At 39.3% G+C, this 22697-nt stretch overlaps 1 protein-coding gene across 21 annotated transcripts in view, besides 2 other annotated features; it reads right to left on the bottom strand.

Moving 5' to 3' along the window:
* KDM4C (lysine demethylase 4C) overlaps positions 1-22697 on the bottom strand; it is a 454786-nt gene that overhangs the window by 237997 nt on the left and 194092 nt on the right. The window lies entirely within an intron of this gene.
* Positions 5611-5660: a silencer, noted in NCBI's record as "silent region_19772". NCBI's record gives its function as "represses an Ori minimal core promoter by ATAC-STARR-seq in GM12878 lymphoblastoid cells {active_cell/tissue: GM12878}" and the evidence as "EXISTENCE:reporter gene assay evidence [ECO:0000049][PMID:35858748]".
* Positions 20210-20289: an enhancer, noted in NCBI's record as "active region_28209". NCBI's record gives its function as "activates an Ori minimal core promoter by ATAC-STARR-seq in GM12878 lymphoblastoid cells {active_cell/tissue: GM12878}" and the evidence as "EXISTENCE:reporter gene assay evidence [ECO:0000049][PMID:35858748]".

Genomic DNA, 22697 nt, shown 5'->3' with positions numbered 1-22697 from the left:
AGCAATGTTCTATTATGTAGCTAGTGTTGTGGTGAAGACTCCCAGCCTGCTAGAGCAGCATGTGCACAACAGGTAAGAATGGCTTGTTTGCTATCAAAGAGGTTAATATCCAATAAGATGTAAGATTACAATAAAAACTGTTGTTTAAACACAAAAATACCCTACTATATTACACATAGGAAGAATAAATACTTGGCATTATGCCCAAAACAAAACCTAACTGCAACAAGTAACTCTGCAAGAGAAACACCTTCCTTAGAAGTACCCTACTATATATAACAAGCAGAAGGCTCTGCCATGCACCAATGAACTATTTACCTTTCACCACTGGCTATTTTTAAATTTTAATTTGCTTTTTCTGTCTTCAGAATTTCAAACTTTAAATGTGAATGACAATTCTGCAAGAAAAACGAACAAGGAGAGTAAATTTTTAATTACTCGCTGGGTGAGGCGGCTCACACCTGTAATCCTAGCACTTCGGGAGGTTCTTATGTTAAAAATAAATATTAAAATTTTAATTATCATCTATAAATTGTTTTAGTCTTTCTGATTGACTACAATAACTTACTTGTTTCCTTTCTTGTCATTTCTCTGATAAAAGTGGCAAGAATGTACATAAAATCTACACAATAAAATGGCCAAAATATTATATGTAACTACAGGGATATGGGTCTAGAATCTGTAACTAAAACCAAGTCAATAAAAGAACACATTTAATGAATATTTTCTCAATGCTAAGTTCTAGGCACTGTGCTAAAATCTTTTCATTCCCCTTCCTCTAGCTCTGTAGGGGAGGTCTTATTACCTTAGCTAAGGAAACTAAAGCACAGAGGAGATAAGTTACTTAGCTAAGGGCACATAGTTATTAGGAAGCAAAAATGGGAGTTACCAACAGGTCCCTATTACTCAAAAGCCTGTGCTCTTAACCTACTACACTATGTACCTCCCAAAATATTGTTTTCACAGGAACCTTTCTACAAACTGGCTTCCAGAGAACAGAATAGCCATGGGAAGGCTCATTCTCATTCATCAGAATGATATGGCGTTCAACCTAAACCAGGAAAAGCAAAACTGAAAATGGGCTGAGTGATTTCTCATGGGAAATTTTCACTTTATCTTAAAATAGTATTACCTAATTTACTGGACCATCAAAAGTGACTAAGACTTCACTATATTAAAAAGTGAAAAAATGAAATATTCAATGGCAATAATGTTTTTGTTACCTATAAATGTATATATGCATTCTTTTTTTAGCAAATCAAATATATGTAAAGTAATACTGTTTGTATACATGTATACCCATGCCCACAAATCTCCATGATTTTAGCATATATAATTTTTAAAAATAGACATGCAGTTCTGCATGGGGTAGTATCTTTCTAACATATGTAAAATCACTCATTTAGTAAGCAGTGAAGTTTAAAAACGAAACATACAAACAGCTGGATATCCTGAAATCACAAGATATCTTTTTTTATATTGTTTGTTTATGGAATTTTTTCCCTTCTCTCTAGGATTTGAATAAACTCCATATATTCAAGCTACCTTCTGGCACTACATAATTCTAGTTTCCATTTGAAAGCCAAATAAGTTACAAAAAATTGTTTGTAAAAATTCAAAGCAAAATATGTGAAATATTAAACATAAGTACACTTTTCTGACAATGTAATTCAATAGCTTTTACTAAACAAGAAGATGACATTTTAAAACTCTTACTGTTTATTATTCTTTCATCTACTTTTCATGTCTTCAAAAAATTCAAGCCCTAAATCTGGAATATAAGTTTCTTGTTGACAAAAATCAGGACTTTTATTTTCTATCAAGAAAAATTCCCCGCAAAAACTTAATGCTGTTCAATAACAACACATAACACAAACTACAAAGACATACATTAAAGCAACATACTCATGGCTCTTTTTGTAATCTCTATTTTGAAGTATCATACTTCCTAATAAAAACGAAGTTTTGGATGATTCTGTTAAGAAAAGACATTGGTTATGAAATATTACAATGAGAAATTAGAAAGGAGAAATATAGGCACAATATCCATCTCAAAAAAAAAAAAAATTAGCCGGGCGTGGTGGCGCGCACCTGTAATCCCAGCTACTTGGGAGGCCAAGGCAGGAGAATCTCTTGAACTTGGGAGATGGGAGATTGCAGTGAACTGAGATCATGCCACTGCACTCCAGCCTGGGCAACAGAGCAAGACTCCATCTCAAAAAAAAAGAAAAAAAAATACACATGAAAAATCATGTTTTACTGTAGCTAAAAAATATGTGAACAGGATATAAAAATTGAATAAAAATCAAACATTTGAAAATTACAGGTGAGATGAGTAGGGATTAAAAATAATATGATTATAATTATAGAATGCCTAATGGAACAATTTTACGAACATGCCAAGGATATGCCTAAATTATTGAGATTTTTGTAAGTAATGATGAGAGAGGAAAAAATAATTGAGATATTATCTTTTATATTCTAAAAAACAGTAGGAAGAAAAGCTGGTGGTGGTTGACAACTTTTTCCCTGGTTAAACAATACTCATTCTTCTAAGTCAGTAGTTAAGGAACTTCGTATTTAATAAATTTCTGGAAAATTTTCCCCAAAACCAGTTTAGCCGTTGTAATATTTAAATTATACATAAAACTTGTGTCATTGTTATTAACAAAAAGCCAAATCACTACTGAAAGAAAAAAATCTGAGTGTATGTGCACACATGGTTGAGAATAAAGAAATCTGGTATACCTAATTTAAAAAAAAAAAGAAATATTATTTTTTAATCCTGAATATTAACAACTTTGCCTCATCTTGGTAATAAAATCTTATTTTTTTGGAAAAAGAAGGATCAGTTCATATCCAATTAAAGTTCTCAATGAAAATTAGAGTGGGCCGGGCGCAGTGGCTCACGCCTGCAATCTCAGCACTTTGGGAGGCCGAGGTGGGCGGATCACGAGGTCAAGAGATTGAGACCATCCTGGCCAACATGGTGAAACCCCATCTCTACTAAAAATACAAAAATTAGCTAGGCATGGTGGCGCGTGCCTGTAGTCCTAGCTACTCAGGAGGCTGAGGCAGCCTGGTGACAGAGCGAGACTCCATCTCAAAAAAAAAGAGAGAGGATATAAGTTGGTATTTAATTTTAGATAAAATTATCCAATTTTTTTTTTTTTTGGCGGGGTCTTGCTCTGTCACCCAGTCTCGAGTGCGGTGGCATGATCTCAGCTCACCGCAAGCTCCGCCTCCCGGGTTCACGCCATTCTCCTGCCTCAGCCTCCCAAGTAGCTGGGACTACAGGGACCGCCAGCACAAACGGCTAATTTTTTTATTTTTTAGTGGAGACAGGTTTTCACCATGTTAGCCAGGATAGTCTCAATCTCCTGACTTCATGATCAGCCTGCCTCCGCCTCCCAAAGTGATAGGATTACCGGCGTGAGACCCCGCGCCCAGCCCCAACTTTAATTTTTACAGTGATTTTTTTTACAATCAGGAAGACCTGGGCCAGGCGCAATGGCTCACACCTGTAATCCCAGCACTTTGGGAGGCTGAGGCAGGCGGATCACTTGAGATCAGGAGTTCAAGAAGACCAGCCTGGCCAACATGGTGAAACCCCATCTCTACAAAAAGTACAAAAATTAGCCAGGCTTGGTGGGGCACACCTATAATTCCAGCTACACAGGAGGCTATGGCAGGAGAATCACTTGAACCCAGCAGGTGGAGATTGTCATGAGCCAAGATCACACCGCTGCACTTCAGCCTGGGTGACAAAGTGAGACTCCATCTCAAAAAAAAATAAATAAATAAAAATAAAAAATCAGGAAGACCTGGAAAAAAATGCAATTCAAAAAAAACCATTTACTCTAAAAACAGCCATACCAAAATCTTTGCCCTCACAGTATCTTTCATTGCCAAACCTCCATGTTCTTAACTAAAATACTTACTCCATTTGTGATTTACACACTGTCTTACATGTGTATTAGAACTATACATAAGTAAATACTTATCAAATTACCAACAAGTTAAACTTTACTGGAATGGCTTTTATTTGTCCTTTTAAAGTTAATTATTACACAGCATTCTTTTTTAAATTGTATGTCAAATTCAGCCTGAAAGTAATTTTGCAGAGCCAGATTCCCAGGGGAAGAATACTGTTCATCATCAGAATCACTATTTTCCAAAAGGAAAGTTGACCCTGAATGTGGTCCAAGCCACTGCTTTCCTAATGCTGTTTTATTTCAACCACTGATGGTTATGCCCCCTCACCAAGCAGTGCATGTAGTAGATAGCTAAAATCTATCTCAGATAGGCAAGTAATGCTGGTATTTATCTTTCCCTTAGGCATAATATGTCACCTTCAGAATTTAAAAAACCAAGGGGCTTAGAACCTGAAGATGTAATTACCTGTCAGATTCTACTAAAGGCTTTTGAAAGTTAACATCCTATACCTATTGTTCCCATAGAAAAATTCCAGAATGTCCAATAGAAAAGCTGATTCAATTTATGCTATAGTCTATTTTGTGTCATTTAAATATAGTATTATCTGATACATGCAATACATACTTCTTACGGAATTAAAATTCTTTGAGATGGTATTTCACCACTGATGAAGTACAAATGAACTCCCTACACTTGCTTGTACAACCTAAAAAGCAGCAATAAGATAAACAGCTTTTTCTTAAATTAGCTCTACACCAAAGAGGAAAACTTAATGCATGAAAGATGGTTACAAAGTGCAGTAGTGCAGAGTTCCTCAATCTCTACATGATTGATATTTTGGGGCCATATAATCCTTTGTAGTGGAGGCTGCCCTGTGTATTGTACGATGTTTTGCAGTACCCTTGGCAGAGGCCGCTGATGCCATTGGCACCTCCCCCATCATGCAATCAAAAAAATGCCCCTAAACGTGGTCAAATGTCCTTTATGAGACAAAATCATCCCAGGGGTCAGAACCAATGAAGGAGTAGAAATGGCCACACACGGGTTGCAGTTTGGCTCTGCTGCTTTGGCTGTGCACCAGGGGGAGACACTTAACCTCTTTGCCTCAGTTTCCTCCTTCCCCAAATAACAGCTGTAAGGACTAAATTAGAAAAGGTTTGAATAGTGGCTGCTGCTACTGCTACTGCTATGATTGCTTCAATTGTATACACTGTAGCATCTCTCTAAACTTCAGTCTCCCTATGACCCAAATGTATGGTTTTTCAACAAAAGTTTTCTCAAGGGCCCACAACAAGGTGGGAGGGGGCATTACTAAGCTTATGGATTACAGATTCTTCCTCAAAGTCCATTTCAAGGCCCTAAGAATATGATCCAAACCCTAATTGAAACTAATAATCCCTGTGCCGCAGAAACAGGAGAGTCGGCTTGGTCACTGGAATGCTACACACAGTCCTCCCTCTGCACTCCGGCTTCCACTCTGTTCTGAAGGGGAACATGACCACAGCTCATGTGGAGCTACACACCTGTTGGAATCCAGCACCAAATGCCACTTTCTCTTTCATGAAGTACATGCCTGATGACATTCTAATCATCTCCCTCTGGCCCCACCCCAAACACCAAGGCCTCTCATAGCATTTGTACTCTGCAGATAACAAGTGACTCACAATAGTCACGGCCCAAATGAGCTCACTTCTCTGATGAATCACTGACACTTTTTCTGTCCTCACTCCTCTCTTTACCCTGCAGGGCACAGCCAGGGCACTGACCATATTATTGCTTAGGATATCTTTTCAACTGGACAGCTACCTTTAGACAATTAATTACAATTCTCTAATAGGTTGATATAGTTTTTATATATAGCTCCACAGTAAATATTTTTCTCATATAAGACTGCCAAATGTATATGACTATTGCTGGCTGAGGATGGTGGCTCATGCCTGTAATCCCAACACTTTGGGAGACTAAGGCGGGTGGATCACTTGAGTCCAGCAGTTCAAGACCAGCCTAGGCAACATGGTGAAACCCCAACTCTACAAAAACTACAAAAATTAGCTGGGTGTGGTGGCACATGCCTGTAGTCCCAGCTACTCAGGAGGCTGAGGTGGAAGGACTGATTGAGCTTGGGTGATGGAGGCTACAGTGAGCCAAGATTGCACCACTGTTCTCCAGCCTGGGTGAAAGAACAAGACCCTTTCTTATGAAAAAAAAATATATATATATATGACTATTGCTTACTGACATCCACAGACCCAACAAAACTAATGACTAATTTTCATGCATGCGTGTTTAGTTGATGGCCATTCTTTAAGTACATAAAATGTCCTTGTTATCTAAATGAAGAGGTAATAAGCAAATTACTGTGACCTAAAAAAAATTAACTCTAGCAAGTTTATTTATTGTGTATCACTGTTAACCAATTTATTTATTACTAAAATTATATTGTTCAGTATACACTCCTTTAGCTGATAAGTCAGGCGATGGTAGTTTCACACTGGGGGGCTCCAGATAGAAAAACAAGGGGAGTATCCAGCAATGCATGCTGCCCTTGTTACTGAGGGAATTCAAGACATAAAGTGTGTTTGTGTGGGGGGGGTGAGAAGAGAGAGGGTTCCAAGTGCCTATGGAGGCAACAAGTTAGGCAACTCTGTGTAAATGCCAGGGTTCTCCTGATGAATCCTGGTAAAAGAAGACATCAGTCACAGGCAAAGAAGCATAAGAATGCAGTTGCATATTTCAGCATGTACTCAGAGGATCCCATACATCAGAATTCTCTGAGGTGCTTACTGCAAACTGCAGATGCAAAGGAGTGGGACCAAGCCCCTGCATTTTTGCAAATTCCCCAGGTATTTCTCATGTGCACTAAATTGAAAGGAACTAATAGATTAGGGGGTGTTACTCTTTTACAACAAAAGAACATTCATTGCTGAAAAGGTATGAAAGAATGATACATGAATATCATATATATGATACATAATAATATAATTATTATATTATAATAATAGTATAATCATATGATATGTTAATAATTAATATATTATATATTAATTGTACTATTATATGTAGTATGTATTCATATTACATATGAATATGTTATATATTATAACATGTTTTATTATATACATATGAATATATAACATGTTATAGATAACATATATAACATACTGTTGTTATATATAACACATATATTCATATTATATATGTACATATTTATGATACATATGTTATATATTTTGTATATTATGTATAAGGTATGCAGATTTTTTCAAAAGACATTTTTAAATAACTGCCACTAAATTCAACGCGTGCTTTATTTTCCACATATTCACTGTATTAGGTGCTCATTACAAAATAAGTGGAGTTCTATAAAAAGATTCTAGAGAAACTTACAGAAACAACTCATGTTGACAAGTCAGTGAAATAGTGTCAGAATGGGGCAGCGTTATTCTGAGAATGTGAAAATTCAACATACATATCCAAAAAACCTACCTGTGGCCACCCTGGAGTAGTTCCCATCAGTGGCTGAATCTGACCTCTAGTAGATCTTGAGAACTGCTGACTGCTAATAATTTAATTTCTGCAGGGAATCTTAGGCGATAGAGACACTTAGCATAGCACCAAGGAGTGTGTCTTTCTCCTCTGCCAAACTAAAACCAATTAAATCAAATGCATCACATTCATCCAATTACACCAGTAAGAGTTAAAATGAGACTAATATCCCAAAGACCCTCAGGACTCATCAACAGTGAGTAACATCCTTAAGGGATCAATAAAATTAATGACATTTTAGTAATGAGACTTCTTATGAGCCATAAAAGAAAGAATTGGCAGAGGGTTGTAGAAATCGTCTATTTTGATCCTCAAAAACTAGAGAAAACATTTGAAAGAAGCCTTCAAACTTTTTTCAAAACAGGGAAGATGAACTTTTTAATATTCTATTTTGGCACCCACAAAAGTATCCTTTCTGCTTGCACATACCAAGAAGTTGGGGTCAAATACACCCGGATTGCAATCCTGACTGGGACTCCAGCAGAGTGACCTCAACCAGACAATTCATGAGTTTCAGTTTCCTCCTCAATAAAACTGGGCTGCTAAAAAGAGTCTACCCATTAGGACAGACCAGTGACTGGGGAAGAGTAGCACTTACCTAACCAACCAGCCTCTGCACCACAATTTCTACCTTATTTTATCATTTACATACACTGTCCTTCCTTACTGAATTGTTGCCAAAAAAAAAAAAAAAAAAAGAAAAAGTCAAACAGGATAAAGTGTACACTGCTTTGTGAAAAGTAAAGCATTACTCTCAAATGTTAGCTGATATTAATTTGGAAATGGAAGAATAAACACAATTAAAAGAGGAATGACACCCAGGATAGTTGAGTAAATAGTAAAAGGGCACTCAGTTTCTTTAAATGACTTCAAGTCTCTTTCATTCCTTCAAGATTTATTGAACAAAAGGCTATAGCTAAACATGTGTCTTCAATGACCTATAACAGATATTAGACATAAGCAAATACAAGAAAGAAAGGTCTAAGCCCTAAAATTAAGGTAAAGATAACTAAGAATTTCACTGTAGAGAGAGATTACTTCTAGCTGAGGGTGAGGAGATAAATCTTCACAAAAGAGGAAGCAGTTGGGATAGCCTTGAAGTGTAGTGTTTGGATAAAGAAGATATTCCTGGCAACAGCATAAGGAAAGCAGGAAGATGAAGCAGCACAGGTACGAGGTGCAAGGTAACTTGGTTTTACTAAAGCACAAGGGTGTGGGTAGTGCTGGGGCCATAAACAAGAAAACAGGCTACAGATAAGCTGTAGAGGGTCCCAAACATGCAGCCGGCAGCTGGGATTCCCTGCTCACACTACTTCCATAGGGAAACCTCAGAGTTCTGCATTAGCAGAATAATCTGACACTAAAGAGGAAGACAGAGCCAAGGGGTAGCCATCAACCTCCAAGGTAGTTAAAAAGTGAAGGCTTGAACAAAAACGAGTGGGTAAGAATGCAGCAAGCAAAGTGACTAATCATAGGCGATAAAAAATAACGGGCACGACAATAACAAAGCAAAGACCACAGCTTTCATCCGCCACAAACAGGTGATGCCATTATTATTAAAAAAAAAAAAGAGGACATAGGTGATATACTATAGTCCAGGATACCGACGTAACATTTGAAGTGATAATAGAACTACCCTCTACAATCTTGGTGAAACCACGAGGAAGTAGGATACACAGATCCGAGTAATAAGGGGAATGACAAAGGGTCTAACCAGGCAAGCAGCACCTACTATATCTCAGCCCTGTTCTGGACAAGAGATACATGCACAAACAAGACAGACTTAAAGCCTGCTGGCAAGAGACTTACATTCTGGTATAAGGAAGACAAACGACCACATAAAGAAGGTAAAGAAAGAGGGGCGAGTTCAGGACAGAGCTCTTTGGCTCTCTAACACTGGAAGGCCTGGTAAAGGAGGCTGTGAAATAACGGCTGGAAAGCTGGAAGAAAACAAGGTGAGTATAGTGTTATGAGAAGAATGTGTTGCAAGGATGGAGAGGGTGAGGGGTTGAGTAACATGAGGATGAAGAACTGACTCCTGGTTTTGGCCTAGAGACGACCTTGATAAAAGCTGTTTGATAGCCCAACTGGAGTGGGCTAAAAAAGGAATAAGTGGTGAGAAAATAGAGATGGTGAGTACAGCAACTCTTTCCAACAGTGTAAAGGTGTGGGAGCCAAGATAAGAATGTTCTCAAGAAGGACAAAGTGGTAGGATGATACCAAAAGTTCAAATGAAATGAGAACAGACTGGTTGGTTGTTTTGGGAAATGTATAGGTCAATGATTACAGCAGTTTCAGTGGAACAGCCAGATCAAAATAGTGATTAGAATGCCTTGAGAAGAATGGGAAGTGGGAAGGGGCAAGGAAATTGGTGAGACACAATGCTAAAAGTCTAAGAACTTAATCTTCTTACAAGGCTAACAGGGTGGGAACTGAGAGACATGTTCACTTGTGTGGAGGGTTGATACGTAGATGAAAAAACAAAGTGGCATATTGTGATTTCTCCCAAGAGCAGAACTGAGACCAGCAGTTTCGTGTGGTCCCTGGAAGCCTCTACGTAGATGAGGGATGATCTCCTCAAAGGAAAGGGTCTTCTTTTGGGGAGCAAGTCCTACACATCTCATATTCTAATTAACATCACTTATTATCAATTCCATTATCACCACAGGTCAACATGATCAGAAGCATTATAAAATATAGAAGCTACAGTTACTATATGGAATAAATGTTAGAAAAAAGAGGCTGGGCGCAGTAGCTCACACCTATAATCCCAGCACTTTGGGAAGCCAAGGCAGGCGGATGACTTGAGGCCCGAAGTTCGAGACTAGCCTGGCCAACACGGCAAAACACCATCTCTACTAAAAACACAAAAATTAGCTAGGCTTGGTGGCATGCGCCTGTAATCCCAACTACTCAGGAGGCTGAGGCATAAGAATCACTTGAGCCTGGGAAGAGGAGGTTGCAGTGAGCCAAGACCATGCCACTGCACTACAGCCAGGGCAACAAAGAGAGACTCTGTCTCAAAAAACAGATAGATAGATAGATAGATAGATAGATAGATAGATAGATAGATAGATAGAAAATTTTTTTTGAAAGGATAGAATCTAAGGGGTTAATTTTCTTCTGTTAACAATGATTAAAATCTGTGCTGGCTTTACCAAAAAGCTATAGTCACCCAATCAATATATTTTCCCTCCATCTAATAAATAATAATTAAGATAAATGAACATGTATACATTTAATTGCATCTACCAATAGCTTCGACATGTTTATGAATAAGAAAATAAGCAACAATTAAAGGACAGTAATGCAGTCAAGAATTGCCAGATTTCCACTGCTGAACTACAAGCCATAAGTCCCCATAATATGGAGCCTCACAGATCAATGAAAACATCAAGAGTTTCTTTTAACAATCTGTAAACTACTAAACACACCCCAATGTTGCTGGATTTCTGAATGTCCGTTTCTCTAAACCATAGCTGTGATAAGCAGTGCCTGGAGGCATTTGTTTGTTTTCCCACCATGTGTTCTTAGCACCCGGCCTTCCTTACTCGTGCTAGAGTGAAGAATGAGGCAGAAATAAGAGTCTGAGGTTAAGACTAGAAAGAGCGGATTCTCACTGAGGAGGAAATAATCATTTTTATTCTGTAACTGCTTGCTGCTATAAGCCAATCATATAATTTTAATTATGCAAAAAGAAACTGAATATGGCCACAAAATATTTTCAGAGCAAAAAAATGAAAACCAGCTCTCACAGAACAAAGATTCCACTTTTCACCTCATGTGTCCCTTTCATTCATTTTTATTTTGGTCCTTTTTTTTTTTTTTACAAATTATCTCTCTACAACTGCTTCTCCACTTGTTTCTATTCACAAACGCCTTATATTACCTCAGTTAATTCTTACATTATTTTTCCTCCTTCACAACTGCCTCTCACAGTTGAGTCCTACAGCCTCAGGAAATGTTTTCCTGGAAGAAGGAATGCCTAACAGCCCCTTGACGCCAAACTGGGTAATCTGCTCACAAAGAGAAGGCACCCGGTCCACGAAAGAACCACCATCTAAAGGGGCTTGACTTTCACCATCGCCAGCACTTTCTTAACTGAGTTCACTGACCACAAGCTTTTACAGTTCGCAGCGGCTATGCTCGGAAGCCGCTCTCTAGTAATCCAGGGAAGAGGAATCCAGGGTACTTTACGGAAGCCACTGGAAACGTTCCACTCCAGTGACTGCTAATCCTAATATCCCAAGCTAAGCTGCGGCTCAAGATAAAAAACAGAATTTTTTCACGTCCCAATGCCCTTTCATAAAATACAAACTTTAAACTTCACAAGAGGTAGTACCACATCATATCAAGCTACCACAAAACCAAAAACAAAATTAAAACATGATTTTGAACACATGAATCTCAATTAAAAAGTTTATGTAACTCACATGTCAGCTGAGAGGGCTAATGAAAAAAAGAAAGAAAAACAGAACTAATTGGAAAATTCCCTTACAGTTCTCCGAACAGCATCTTTCTGAAACGGTGAAGGGCTGATGGTAAACAAGCCAAGACGGTTTTAGAACTGAGGGTCTGCCCAGGCATGGTGGCTCCCACTTGTACCAGAACTTCGGGAGGCCAAGGTGGGAGGACTGCTTGATGCCAGGAGATTGAAAGCAGCATGAGCAAGATGGTGAGAATATGTCCTTATTTGAAAAGAGGGGAGGAGAGGGGGAAGGGGGAAGAGGAAAAGGGGAAAGGAGGAAGGGGAAAGGGAAAGGGAAGGAAAGAAAAAAAGCTTTTAATTTACAAAGAGAACTGAGCTTCTCTTCGCCAAAAGAAAATGAAGACGCCCAACTGATGAAAGCTTGTGTCTCCTTTATTTGACCTCCATTATTATATTTTCCCATAGTAACTACCTCCTACAATGCTGTTCATAATTATTCCGTCTGAAGCTCTGCCACAGCTCTCACATGAGCTGTATCGCCAACAGTGACAGCCCTGGATGTTTACGCACGATGATAAGGACTTCCAGTGAGGCACTGCTTGGCATCCATGAAAGAGTTCAAAGAGGAAAAATGCATGGTCTGTACTAGAAAGCTAAATTTTAAAAAGGATGCATGTTTCGTTGAATGTTCATTCTTATACACCTGGTTCATTTCAGAACTTCAGAAGTAGGAAGCCTAAGATTCACTAATACAAAACATCAACACTTCTACCAAAACGTGTTTTAAAATAACCACTGTCAGAACACATTATTATTAGAACTAAAGGCTGTACTCTGACCAACAAAATGCTCCACCACCCCAAATATTCATTGAAAAAAATATATAGTGGACAGCCTGTCTTATTTTCATGTTAATAGCAAAGTGGAATGCAGAAACCAAAAAAAAGAATATACAGGGAAAATAACTTTAAACATTTTAAGTTTTTGTGTTTAATAAAAACTCCTCAGACAAAATCCACAGGAGTTTCCCAGGATGACACATTATGCATCGGTACCCCAGCAGAACACAAGTGTAACATTCAACGTTGGAATAATCAGAGAAGATCTAATTAAGGGACTGAATTGGCGTGGGCAAGGTACAGAAAAACCAGAGGATAGACAGAGTGGTGCCCCAGGCCAGCTAACAACTGAGGTGTCAATAATCTAGTCCTAAAAGGACTAGAGAAGAGTGTAATTCCCCAAACTAAGGACAGAGCAACAGAGGATGGTGTGAGGCAAGTCCAACAGAGCGCTGCAGCCCTGGGCCCTCACTCTCCTCCTCTTGTAATTTCCTGCCTGGGCTCTACCAGAAGCCAGAGGGAAAGGGGGCCTGTGGTGGCGGCCCATACAGATCTGCAACCCTGGGCAGACAGGTAAGAGACTAGGGCAAAGTGGACTTGGAGGCACAAACTGCAACTAACAAGCACAAACACTGTTCAGTATATTAAACTAGTCCACACCATCTGTCACGATGGATTAAACAAACAAAAAAGCACATGCAACCAGTAACCACTTTCTCTCTCCAGTATGTTCTTATTCTGTATTAAAATATAAAACCACAGCTAACTTTTTTTAAAAAAAGAAAAAGCCAGCAGCTATTAGAAAAAGGATTCTGGATTACCATATCTGAGCTTTATAAGAAGTAAACATTGTCTCGCCTAAGGCACCTGAGGAAGACATGCTGAGAACTGTTCAAAAAACTTACCAAGAAATTTCTAAATATCTGAGGAGGGAAAGAAGAATCCCATGCCCCACCTGAAAGGCTGCAGCAGCCATAAGCATCGGTCTCTTCTCAGATTCCTGCTTTTTTCTCTTACAGATAAAGATGAAATCCAATGTGCTGAAGACACAGTGGTCCCCCTTGGTTCTCTGCCCCCAAAAAGAGAAGACTGGATTCTGCAGTCATTGACACAGGAAGCATTTGAAACAATCAAACAAACAATAATGACAACACACATACATACAAAACAAGATAAAGAGCCATTTGATGGAATTATATTAATGACTTATTTTTTGGTCATTAATTACAAGCCATTAGTTCAGATGTCAAACCCCACAAGACTCTGAAGAACTTGCCTGTAATGTATGGGTATTCTATGTTCTGTCTCTTGATGATCCCTCGGCAAATAAGAATACAATTCTTGGAATTCATGGAAAGTAAAAGTTTGCACCTTCATTCTGTCATTGTAATCATTCAGTCATTCACTCATTCAAATAAATCCAAGAATACAATTCACTAGTGATGCACATTCATATTAATCTTAAAATTCAAGCTGCGCTCATAAGATAGCCACTCAGAAAAAAAGTCAGTATAAATGAAGTATCTCAAAGGAAAAAAAAACATTTAAACGGAAACTGCAACTACAAACCATACTTGTGCAATTATTAGTCACAATAGCCAGAAAAGAGGGTCACATGCAGCAACAGTGCAACATTCTTTGCAGAATTTTTTTAAGATTAAAAAAAAAAAAATCTGTCTGATTCCAATGCTTTGCATATGTAACAAACGAGCTATTGTATAACCATAATCTCGGCCCCCAGGTGAAGTGGGGAGGAGGCAGTGCTTTACAAACCCGTAAAGAGTAAAAACATTAAATCAAACAGGCTTTACCAAATAAATACCCATAAAATAGATTTAGAGGGGAGAAAATTCATACCTGAGGAGAATCTAAAGCATATGACAAAACAAGAAATGAGAGGATTTATTGAGACATCACCCTGTGACACTGCCTTTTAAGTTAATTTGGAAACATCACTTTGGAAACAAATCTAATGTGCATCCATTTCTGTAGCTAACGCACAGTTTAAGTGGCTTGAGTCAGAGAGGGAGAGATAAGCATCTCTTCCTGAATTTCTGGCTGAAGTTCAATTATTAGTGACAGTGAAAGAAACTTAGTGACATTTGTCAGTTAACTGCTTGAGGATATGTTGGAAGGCTGTTTATTTCTCTGTTTTGAGACAGGGTCTGGCTCCGCCACCCAGGCTGGAGTACAGTGGTGCAATCATGGTTCACTGCAACCTCAATCTCCCAGGCTCAGGTGATTCTCCCACCTCAGTCTCCCAGGTAGATGAGACTACAGGCACGGGCCACCACATTCAACTAATTTTTGTATTTTTGGTAGAGATGGGCTCTCCCTGTGTTGCCCAGACTGATCTCAAACTTCTGGACTCAAGCAATCCTCCAACCTCAGCCTCCCAAAGGGCTGGGATTACAGGCGTGAGCCAACATGCACAGCCTGGAAGATTGCTGAAGATGTTACCCAACTATTTCCAGGAATTCTACTTCTTTTAATGGGGGGGAAAAAAACAGTAAATGTAATCAGAAACCTGTGATAGGAAATCTTGCAACAGGGTGGCTTTCCTTATGACTATAACCATGATAGTACTATGCACATGCCCTGCATAAGGGCAAAGGTAAAAGAAATTAGAAATGTTCAGTGTTATAACATTGCATAAAACAAAAAATTAAGATAGGAATTAGATAGAAATTCACAAAAACATAGCAGCAGCAGCTAAGATTGGGCTAAACTGTGTAAGTTAAAAGTCTGCATGCTTCATTCTGTCATCATACATTCATTCATTCATGCAGCAAATATTTGCTGAACGTGTACTATGTACAAGTTATGGTGCTAGGCACTGGGCATACAGGTGTGAATAAGGCAAAATCCCCTTCACAGAGCTTGGGATTGTGAAGAGGGTTCCAATTCAAATTGAGAAATGATATCAGTGAGAAGATGACATTTGAACAATACTTCAGAGAAGGGAGGGACCGAGCCATGCAGATTGGGGAGGGGTATTCTGGGAAAAGGATCATGGAACCTGGGGGACCTAGGGCATTAATGTGCCTTACTGTGTTGGTACAGAGTGGGCAAGGGTCATGGAGGTAAAACTCGAAGTCAAAGATGGGGGGTAGGGGTTGGGGCAGGGAGTGATCACGTAGCATTTGCTCACCATGGTAAGCATATTAAATTTTAATGGAAGCGAGATGGGAAGCTAGGAAGGGGAGATTCTGAGCAGAAGTATACACAATCTGACAAATGGTTTTAAAGCTGTCATGCTGGCTGCCGAATAAAGAATAGAGAGAAATAGTAAGACTGTGAAACCCACTGGCATAGCCAGGCCAATGACTTATAGTGGTTGGACCAGAGTAATAGTGGTGAGTGTGGTGAGCAGTGGGCATCCCAGAGATTCTAGAGCCAACAGAATTGATTGGGTGTGTGATTAAACAGAAAGCGAGTGAGCAGTGATGACTCCCAGAGTGTTTGGCCTGAGCAACTGGAGAAACAGAGTTGCCACTAAATGAGGTGGAGAAGTCTTTTGACAGCACTTTCTGGGCTTGTTAACGTTTGTGAAGCCCATCAACATCCAAGCGGACGTGTGAAGTAATCAGCCTTGATTTCATGGCAGGAGTTTGTGGGTTCCAAGGAAAAGTCCAGGCTAAAGATACAAATTTTAGTAGTCATTAGTAATCAGCATACAGATAATATTTAAAGTTGCAAGACTGAATTTGATCATAAGGTAATTCGTGTAGACAAGAAAATGAAACCTGAGGACTAAGCCCTAAAGCTCTCGAAGGTATCAAAGAAAAAGGAACCAACAAAACTGACCGAGAAGGGAAGACCATGTAAGGCAGACGGAAACAAGAAATGTGTACCATCTCAGAAAGCAAGGAGAAAAGCCGATTTAAAAAAATAATAAAGGAACAACTTTATCAAGTGCTGCCAGGAGGTCATGTAAGATGAGAATTTTTAAATAATATAATTTGGTGTTGGGGCTCAGAAAACTGATACCTCAAAACATGCCATTTTGACATACTGCAGGGGAAGAAACCTCAAGGCCTCTCTGACTTCCTCCTGGCCCCAGTCCCTTTCAAAGAAGGTGAAGTAGTTCCTTTACCTGCCTAAGATCCAGACCCACCAAGCAGAACAAATGTTTTTCTTTCCCTCTGTGCAAGACCAAGAATGTAAGCACACCTTCAGACCCTTTCACAAGATAATGTACAAATTAATCTGTTCCCTGATTTCATTCACTCTCCCTGGTAATTTCCTCAAAAGAATTCCGCTTTCACCCCTCCACCTCCAATAACCTATTTTGTCAGGATGATATACAAGTTTCTATTTCTTTATATTGATTAATTAATTTTTTTTTTCTTGTTCTGTTGCTGAGGCTGGAGTGCAGTGGAACGATCTCGGCTCACTGCAACCTGCACCTCCCCGGTTCAAGTGATTCTCCTGCCTCAGTCTCCTGAGTAGCTGGGATTACAGGTGCCCACCACCAAGCCCAGCTAATTTTTTTGTAGTTTAGTAGAGATGGGGTCTTACCATGTTGGCCAGGCTGGTCTTGAACCTTCCCAATTGCTTCTACAGATAACATCACTATTATAAAACCTAAGACTGTTTTTTTATTTTCTTTTTTGAACTGTTTTTCAGACTGACCCCATGGGACTCATGAGTCATGGCACAACTGATCCTGAGTGGACTCAGCACATGAGGACTGCTTTCCACACCCCTATGATTTCATCCCCAAACAATCACCAGCACCCATTCCCTAGCCCCCTGCCCACCAAATTGTCCATAAAAACCCTAACCTCCAAGGCTTTGGAGTGACAACTCCAGTTCTTCTGCATGGGCTGGCCTCACATCAATTAAACTCTTTCTTTACTGCAATGCCACAGACTTAGTGAACAGATTTTGCCTTTGTAGCAGGCAGGAAGAACTTGTCAGGCAATTCCACAATGAATGACCACTGACTTTGACAAAAGCAGTTCTGATAGCATGGAGTAGGTAAAAGGCTATGGTATTTAAAGAGAGAATAGAAAAATAAATATGGCCAGGTGCAGTGGCTCACACCTATAATCCTAGCACTTTGGGGGGCCAAGGCAGGTGGATCACCTGAGGCCAGGAGTTCAAGACCAGTCTGGCCAACATGGTTAAACCCCATCTCTACTAAAAATACAAAATTAGCCAGGCATGGTGGTGCACGCCTGTAGTCCCAGCTACTCCGGAGGCTGAAGCAAGAGAATCACTTGAACCCGGGAGGCGGAGATTGCAGGGAGCCAAGATCGCGCCATTGCACTCCAGCCTGGGCAACAAGAGTGAAACTCCATCCTAGATAGATAGATAGATAGATAGATAGATAGATAGATAGATAGATAGACAGACAGACAGACAGATGAAATTGAAAGATGAAATATAGGCAATTCTTCTTTCAAAGTATTGTTAAATAGAAAAACAAAGAAAAGGGATAGCAGGTAAGATGGAAAGAGGGATTAAGATTTTTTTTTCAAGCTTCTGCACAGCAAAAGGAACTATCAACAAAGTAAACAGACACCTTACATAATGGGAGATAATATTTGCACACTATACATCTGACAAAGGTCTAATATCCAAAATCTCAATGAAAGAAAGAAAGAAAGAGAGAGAGAGAGACAGAAAGAAAGAAAGAAAGAAAGAAAAGAAAGAAAGAAAGAAAGAAAGAAGGAAAAAGAAAATTCAGAATCTGTAAGAAACTTAAAACAACAAGCAAAAAACAACCCCAATGAAAAGTGAGTAGGCTGGGCGTGGTGGCTCACACCTGTAATCCCAGCACTTTGGGAGGCCAAGGCAGGTGGATCACAAGGTCAAGAGTTCAAGACCAGTCTGGCCAAGATGGTGAAACCCCATCTCTACTAAAAACTACAAAAATTAGCCAGGCATGGTGGCCGTTGCCTGTAATCCCAGCTACTCGGAAGGCTGAGGCAGGAGAATCGCTTGAACCCAGGCAGCAGAGGTTGCAGTGAGCTAAGACTGTGCCACTGCGCTCCAGTCTGGGCAACAGAGTGAGACTCTGTCTCAAAAAAAAAAAGTGAGCAAAGGACATGAACAGAGCCTTCTCAAAAGAAGACATACATACAAGCGGCCAACAAAGATATGAAAAAATGCTAAACATCACTAATCATTAGAGAAATGCAAATCAAAACCACAATGAGCTACCATCTCAAACCAGTCAGAATTCCTATTATTACTAAAAAGTCAAAAAATAATACATGCTAGTGAGGCTGTAGAGAAGGGGGAACACATACACTGCTGGTAGGGATGTAAATTAATTCAACCACTATGGAAAGCTGTTTGGAGATTTCTCTAAGAACTTAAAACAGACCTACCAACTGACCCAGCAATCCTATTGATGGGTATATACCCAAAAGAAAAGAAATGATTCTACCAAAAAGACACATGCACTCTATATTCATCACAGTGCTATTCACAATAGCAAAAACATGGACTAAACCTAAGTGCCCATCCACAGTAGACTGGATGAAGAAAATATGGTACATACACGTCATGGAATACTATGCAGCCATAAAAAGAATAAAATCATGTCCTTTGCAGCAACACAGATGCAGGTGGAGGCCGTTATCCTAAGAAAATTAACCTAAGAACAAAAAACCAAATACCACATGTTCTCACTTGTAAGTAGAAGCTAAACATTGGATACACATTGACACAAAGATGGGAACTGTAGACACTGGGGACTACCAGAATGAGAGAGGGAGTACGGCAAAGGCTAAAAAAAGCTACCTTTTGGGTACTATGTTCACTGCCTGGGTGATGAGATCAATTGTACCCCAAACCTCAGCATCACACAATATACCAATGTAACAAACCTGCACATCTACCCTCTGAACCTAAAATAAAAGTTTATATTTTTTAAAAAGAGAAGATATTTTTCAAATGGGAGAAATAACAGCTTGTATGCTGATGAGACTGATCTAGTGGAGAAGGAAAACGTGATGATGCAGTGAATGAAGAATTGAGATGCCTGGACAATGGTCTTCAAGTTGCAAGAGGGGCTGGGGTCAAGTGCACAAGTGGCCTCACTTAGACCCATAAACAATTCAATCAGGTAAAAGAATGGGAGTTCAAGTGTATGGGCACCGGGACTGATAGGTAGGAAAATGTGCTGTGTGCAGTCTGCAGAAGTTCTCTATTTTCTCAATGAGATGAGAAGCAAGACAATCAGCAAAGAATGAGGATGGAGACAGGAGGAGAGAGGGAGAGCCAACGAACTCGGCAACATGGCTGGACTGCTGGGCATCGTGAACAACTCATTGGAGTCCTAGAATTTAGGGATAGGAAATGGGATGGCTGCATGCTTATCTCCAGCCATGGTCAGATACACAGGGACAAGCAAGAGAAATAGCTAAGTTGAACAAGATGGGGATTTTTGCCAGATGAGTATAACAAAGTGAAAGAAAGGCAAGGTGTGAAACCAAAGGTATCTTTACAATGATGGATCATGCAATAGAAACCAGTGAAAGGGGGAAGTAAGAAGTTGAGGTGAGTGAGCAACCATGAAAAGTAGGATCAATGGATTTTAAACCCTACTGGGGTCCAAGTGCATGCTACAGTTTGGGTAGTGGAGAAAAAGAGCTTGAGAGACAGGTGGTGTAGATCAGAGGAAGGCATGCCTGAAACTGAGAATATGGATACCTATATGGTGCTCATATTAAGACCAGAAGACTGAGTAAGGGAGGCAGGGGCTGCCCAACAGCCATTTTCCTTCCTGAGCATCTCTCCCACAGCCCTGCAATTCATGCCTAACTTCCCACATTCTCCAATTCACTCCTGCCAATGAAAATAATTCATACCTATATAAACGATATTTTAACTCTTGAACAACAACAACAAAAAAAACAGAATGACCTCAACAATCTTCGTGGGTGGAATATGAATAGGCAGATTCCCTCATTCAACTTTGTATCATTTCCCCAAAACCAGAGAGAAAAATTAATGAAACTGGGATGTTTCTACTCTAATCTACAAACATTTGTCCATCCACCAAGCACAGAAAAATACAGTGCTGTTGCTTTGAAAGTTGCTTAGCCAAAATAGAACCTATTCAAAGGTGATCAAAATTTCTAAAAACAAGAAGGTCCATTTTAGAAGACATAATCCTCTTAGTAAGTATGCAACATTCAATGCTTAAAACAGAAATAAAATAAAACATCCTGCTAAAATCTCTTTGTAAGTTAGAACTGGCTTTATTCATATTTTATTCACACATATAAATTATCTTGCCTGTAACTAAAGCTTAATATATATTTGCTGGATAAAGAAAAAGAATTTCATCTGGTCAAACGAATTAGCCAATAAAGAAAAATATCAGCCAGGCACAGTGGCTCACTCCTATAATCCCAGCACTTTGGGAGGCCAATGCAGGAGGATCACTTGAGACCAGCCAGGGCAACACAGTGAGGCCTGTCTCTATAAAAAAACAAATTAAGAAGTCCCAGCTGCTCGGAAGGCTGTGGCAGGAGGATCATTTGAGCCCTTGTGATAAAGCAAGACCCTGTTTCAAAAAAAAAAAAACTCTCATTAAAATTGCAAACACATTATATTTTTACCACTGTCCTTCAGAAGTTTATATTGAACCTCTTCTTTAAAATGCTCATAGGCTCCCCATCACTCAGAATAAAAAAGGTCCGGATAACTCTGTAAAACTTTCAAGACACTTCATAGCCCAGCTCCACCCACCCTTCTAAACACACTACACCTCAAATCACTCAGAAGTGACTGTCAAAAACACCTTACCACATCTAGCCCCCATCTTTACTCAGGTTGCTGACTCTCTCCTTCCAAATATATACTTCCAAAACACCATCCAATCTTCACCAGGTCAAATATGATGTCTCTCACAAAGCTGTCCAAATTCATGCCATGTTGGAATTAAATTCCCCCCATCCTATAACCCTGATTACCTTGTACTATTTTACAGCATCTGTCAGTGATAAAAGCCCAGCCTGTCATTAATTCAAGTGCTGGAAAGGAGTCTTTGCGAGCTTCTCATGCCCCAGCATAGGTCCTTCCATGATGGCAAACTGCAACCTGACACTTGATAACGTCATCACTATTAACAGGCAGCTTCCAAAGGAAGCTGGAAGTGTAAAACTAGCCCTTTCCTTGTTCTTCGAAGGCTATACCTTGGATACAGGGCATAGCCACCAAGACTAAGGCTCCAATAAGGTCCAAGGAATATACAAATTGTTGTAGCATTCGAGGAAAGAAAAACAAAAGCAGTCTCTTTATTCTTGAGACAGTCAAGTGGATTATTTCCCGTATTTTTGTTATCTCTCTTAAGGGTTAAAAATAATCAAATTTTGCCAGTAGAATAGCATAATATGTGTCAAATACAATTAGGAAAATGACTTCTTAATGACTAGACAGTAACAATCATTTTATCTCTTTTGAATTAAAATGGAATGTAACCCCGAACCTCAAAGTGGCAGGCATCTCCAAGTGTTCATCACAGTAGTAGTGAGAAGACAATACAGCAAAAATGATTGCTTCAGAGGAAGGTCATTTTCTTTTGTTACCTAATGCTTTACTATGCAACCCCCTAAACCCCTCACAGGAAATCTGAAGCACCTAAAACAAACTCTCTTAGGTAGATGCATGAACACCTGTTTTGTAAAACCTAAACAGTAGAAAGAGATCACGTGCTTCTTGCATATTTTTACCAATAAGACAATATAGGGTGAGCTGCATTCTAGCAAATTAATAAAGTATCTTTGAAGTAGTAAAGGAAGTTTAAAATTTTTCCAAACTAAAAAAGCACCCCACAGAAAATTCTATGATTTAGAACGTTTTATCATGTTAATTTCAGTAAGACTAACTCGAGAATTTCAAATTGTGCCCCTTTTTATAAGTCCAACACTTAATTCTTAAAATAGAGAAAGATAGGTAGACAGCAAAATCAAAAAGACTCTGTC

This window comes from Homo sapiens, chromosome 9 (assembly GCF_000001405.40).
Source record: "Homo sapiens chromosome 9, GRCh38.p14 Primary Assembly".
In the NCBI taxonomy this organism is placed as follows: Eukaryota; Metazoa; Chordata; class Mammalia; order Primates; family Hominidae; genus Homo; species Homo sapiens.
The sequence above is the reverse complement of the archived record's forward strand: the minus strand, read 5'-3'. Positions and strand labels throughout refer to the sequence as shown.